General features: G+C 41.3%; 1 pseudogene; it reads right to left on the bottom strand.

The window, feature by feature from the left end:
- On the bottom strand, positions 475-1,498 carry RPSAP61 (ribosomal protein SA pseudogene 61; annotated as a pseudogene).

The following is a 4,900-nucleotide window of genomic DNA, read 5'->3' as shown; positions in this document are numbered from 1 at the left end:
CTTGACTCAGACTTCTAAAGAGTGGCAAACTTTCTGGAAAGGATAGGCATACCTTCTTGAGTCCCTCAGTGATCTGTTCAAGAACAAAAGAGCAACAGCAAATCCTCTGCCAACGTAGGTAGATTTTATTTTTATTTTAAAAAATAGAGATGGGCTGAGCAACTTTGTGTGTCATAAGGAAGAAAAGATTCAAAAAAATTGGTCGGGCACAGTGGCTCATGCCTGTAATTCCAGCACTTTGGGAGGCTAAGATGGGCGGATGACTTGAGGTCAGGAGTTGGAGACCAGTCTGCCCAACATGGTAAAATCCTGTCTCGAAAAAAAAATTAGCCGAGTGATCAGCCGAGTGAGGCAAAACTTTGCCTCAGCCTCCCAAAGTTCTGGGATTATAGGTGTGAGCCATTGTGCGCAGCCCAGGGTTAGATTTTATTTTTATTTATTTATTTATTTATTTATTTATTTATTTATTTATTTTTTTAGAAACTGATGTTTATTTTCCATCAACCATTTTTCCATGTTGCTTAAGAGCCTATGCAAGAACAGCTTAAGACCAGTCAGTGGTTGCTCCTACCCATTCAGTGGCCTGAGCAGTGGGAGCTGCAGACCAGTTTTCCGTGGCAGGCTGAGTGCTCCAGTCGTCAGTAGGGAACTGCTGAATAGGCACAGAGGGCACCTGTACACCTTCAGACAAGTCTGCAACCTCAGGCTGAGTGGCAGTGAACTCAGGAGCAGGAGCAGTCCATTCACCCTGAAATTCCTCCTTGGTCACTGCCTTTTCAGCAGCAGCCTGCTCTTCTTTTTCAATCTCTTCAGGATCTCTGTAGAAGTAGAGATCAGGCATGACCTCCCATGGGTGTCCACGGGAAATGGTGCCACGCATGCGCAGAACTTCCCGAGCCAGCATCCACCACATCAAACCCACTGAGTGAGCTCCCTTGTTGTTGCAATGTCCACATAGCGCAGAGGAGAATCTGTGTTACACAGAGCAATGGTAGGTAGGTTAACATAAGATGACTCCGTGAGAGGCTGGTGGTCAGCCCTGGGGTCAGTAACCACAAGAAGCCGTGGCTCCCGGAAGGCTGCCTGGATCTGGTTAGTGAAGGTTCCAGGAGTGAAGTGGCCAGCAATTGGAGTGGCTCCAGTGGCAGCAGCAAACTTCAGCACAGCCCTCTGGCCAGTATTCCCGGAGGATATAACACTGACATCAGCAGGGTTTTCAATGGCAACAACAGCACGAGCTGCCAGCAGAAACTTCTCCCAGGTCCTCTTCAGATTTATGATATAGATGCCATCACTTTTCCTTTTATAGATGTACTGTTCCATCTGGAAGTCAAGATTGGTGCCGCCTAAGTGGGTTCCTGCTGCATGGAACTTAAGGACATCCTCCTCCTTCATTTGCAGGACATCAAGGGCTCCGGACATTGTGAAAGTTTCCCTTTAAGTTACGATGGGAATCCAGAACAACGCCATATGGACCCCTCTGTAGGTAGCGCGGAAAGCCAGGGTTAGATTTTAAATGAGGTTAGATATACTCTGGTTAACAGAAACATTACTTTTATTTATCAGTTATTGGATAAAATGTTAAAAATTTAATAAAATATTAACCTCAGATATTCATAATCATCTTGATATGGATGATATAATAGCCAATTCCATTGGCTGGAATAGCTTCACAAATAAGGTCACAGGAAGATCTTCAACGAAGAGAAGAAAAAGTCAAGATATTTTTTGTTTTTTGTTGTTATTTTTTTCCCCCAAAAATAGAACAGATAGAGAAAAGGTATATTAAATTAGCTCCTCCTAATTAGAACATTTCTAATTTTTATACAGGCTAAATTAAAGGCTGTTAGGCACTTTAATAGTGTAAAGTCATTTTGGGGGGATATTGATTCAGAAAACCCAGCATTTATGACATATTGATAAGTAAAAGCAGCAGACTACAAAAATAGCATACTTTTATTGCATATGTACATATAAAAAAAATGTGAAGGCATATACCAAAATGGCAACAGTGGTTATGTCTGCCTGGTAAGATTACAGGTATTTAAAATTTCTTTTCTTTGTGTTTCTCTGAGTCTTCAAATTTTCCTTTAGCAAGTATGTATTACTTTCAAAAATAGATAGAATTGTACATAACAAAAAAAAAAATCAAACTCAAGATAGAAAGATTGAGGAGGAAATGGTTCAAGAATGTAATTTTTCATGCTCTTAAATATCTTTACCTGCAGTAATAGATTTTTTTTTTGCTTTTGCCTGCCAAACACTTCTTCTTCTTTTTTTTTTTTTTTTTTTTTTTTTTGTGATGGAGTCTTGCCTTATTGCCCAGGCTGGAATGCAATGGTGCAATGGCACGATCTCAGCTCACTGCAACCTCCGTCTCCCGGGTTCAAATGATTCTCCTGCCTCAGCCTGCTGAGTAGCTGGGATTACAGGCACCCGCCACCATACTCAGCTAATTTTTGTATTTTTAGTAGACACAGGGTTTCACCATGTTGGCCAGGCTGGTCTTGAACTCTTGACCTCATGATCCACCTGCCTCAGCCTCCCAAAGTGCTGGGATTACAGGTGTGAGCCACCGTCCCCAGCCCAAACACTTCTGATTTATTTACTTAATTAATTTATTTGTGTGTGTGTTTACTTGAGACAAGATCTTGCTCTGTCACCTAGGCTGGAGTGCAGTGGTGTGATCATGGTTCACTGCAGCCTTGGCCTCCCTGGCTCAAGAGTCCCTCCCACCTTAGCCTCCTGAGTAGCTGGGACTACAGGTGTGTACCACCATGCCCAGCTGGGGACATCACGTTACCTGACTGCAAACTACACTACAGGGCTACAGTAACCAAAATAGCATGGTACTGGTACAAAAGCAGACACATAGACTGATGGAACAGAATAGGGAGCCCAGAAATAAATCTGCACACCTACTACTATCTGATCTTTGACAAAGCTGACAAAAACAAGCAATGGGAAAGGACTCCCTATTCAATAAATGGTGCTGGGATGACTGGTTAGCCATATGCAGAAGATTGAAACTGGACCCCTTACACCATATACAAAAATCAACTCAAGATGGATTAAAGACTTACATGTAAAACCCAAAACTATAAAAACCCTGGAAGACAACGTAGGCAATACCATCCTTCACACAGGAACGGGCAAAGAATTTATGACAAAGACACCAAAAACGATCGTAACAAAAGCAAAACTTGACAAATGGGATCTAATTAAACTAAAGAGCTTCTGCACAGCGAAAGAAACTATCAACAGAGTAAACAGACAACCTACAGAATGGGAGAAAATATTTGCAAACTATGCATCTGACAAAGGTCTACTATCCAGCATCTATAAGGAATTTAAACACATTTACAAGAAAAAAACAAACACCCCCATTAAAAAGTGGGCAAAGAACAGGAACAGACACTTTTCAAAAGAAGACATACATGGGGTCAACAAGCATATGAAAAAAGCTCAATATCACTGATCATTAGAGAAATGCAAATGAGTTGGGCTTGGTGGCTCACGCCTGTAATCCCAGCACTTTGGGAGGCCAAGGCGGGTGGATCACCTGAGGTCGAGACCAGTCTGACCAACATGGAGAAACCCTGTCTCTACTAAAAATAAAAAAAATTAGCCGGGCATGGTGACGGGTGCCTGTAATCCCAGCTACTCAGGAGGCTGAGGCAGGAGAATGGCGTGAACCCAGGAGGCGGAGCTTGCAGTGAGCCGAGATCGGGCCACTGCACTCCAGCCTGGGATACAGAGCGAGACTCCGTCTCAAAAAAAACAAACAAACAAACAAAAAAAAACATGACTGGCACATACTGTATAGTCCATTTCTATTTTACATGTATTTATTTGAGTTAACAATGTAGTGAGAGTCTTTTCCCATGTCAGAGTCTTCTTATATGAGGCTCTGGGGTTTAGTCTGCCCAAGGCTGGCAGATAAAAGGGGAATATGGTTCAACAAATTGGGAGGGATATTTGTATTTGAAAATAAGGGCAGATCCTAAAAACAAAAACAGATTTGTGTCATTACATTAAAAGAGGTCTGCCATGATCTACTCTGTCATGGTCTGCCACTTATTAACTTCTTGCATTTGAGGAAATTAATCTCAAGTCTCAGAAATCCATAATTCAGAGTTTTTAGTGAGATTGTATTGTGATTTATTGAGTTTAAAACTTCTCCAATGACTCTGCCTCCAGCCTTCCCAAGCTTTTTGCTAAAGCAGCCTACACTTGTCAAAAAGTTACTCTAAATAGCTTGCAAACCACTTGAATCTGCCCCTTTTATGTAGTAAAATTGGTCAGTTTCCCAACAGTAAAGAAGAGGGAAAATATGGATTAGCATCAACCAATGATGCCCTGAGAACAACATAGGCTTTCTAAATCTAGGGCTTTTTAGTAGAAGACATAAGTATTTCCAGCTTAATATAACTGTTAGCTAAGGTTTTCAAATACTAGAAAAAAACAGCATTCTTTTGTTGGCTTTTGTTTCTGCTTTGAGCTCCGGACTATAATTCCTGTCATGCTGGGCCAATCAGGGACCTTGGTAACTTTTCACTAACAAAATCTAGATTTGCAGCCCTAAATGAACACCTTAATTTTCTTCTTCCAACTTTTATTCTAAGTTCAGGGGTATATGTACAGGATGTACAGTTTTGTTACAAAGGTAAACATGTGCCATGGTGTTTTGCTGCACAGATCAACCCATCACCTAGGTATTAAGCCCAGCATCCATTAGCTATTCTTCCTGATGCTCTCCCTCCTCCCACAACCCCACCCTCCGACAGGTCCCAGTGTGTTGTTCCCCACTATGTGTCCATGTGTTCTCATCATTCAGCTGCCATTTATTTTTATTATTTATTTATTTATTTATTTATTTATTTATTTATTTATTTTTGAG

This window comes from Homo sapiens, chromosome X (assembly GCF_000001405.40).
Source record: "Homo sapiens chromosome X, GRCh38.p14 Primary Assembly".
Lineage (NCBI taxonomy): Eukaryota > Metazoa > Chordata > Mammalia > Primates > Hominidae > Homo > Homo sapiens.
This window is presented reverse-complemented; position numbering and strand designations above follow the sequence as displayed.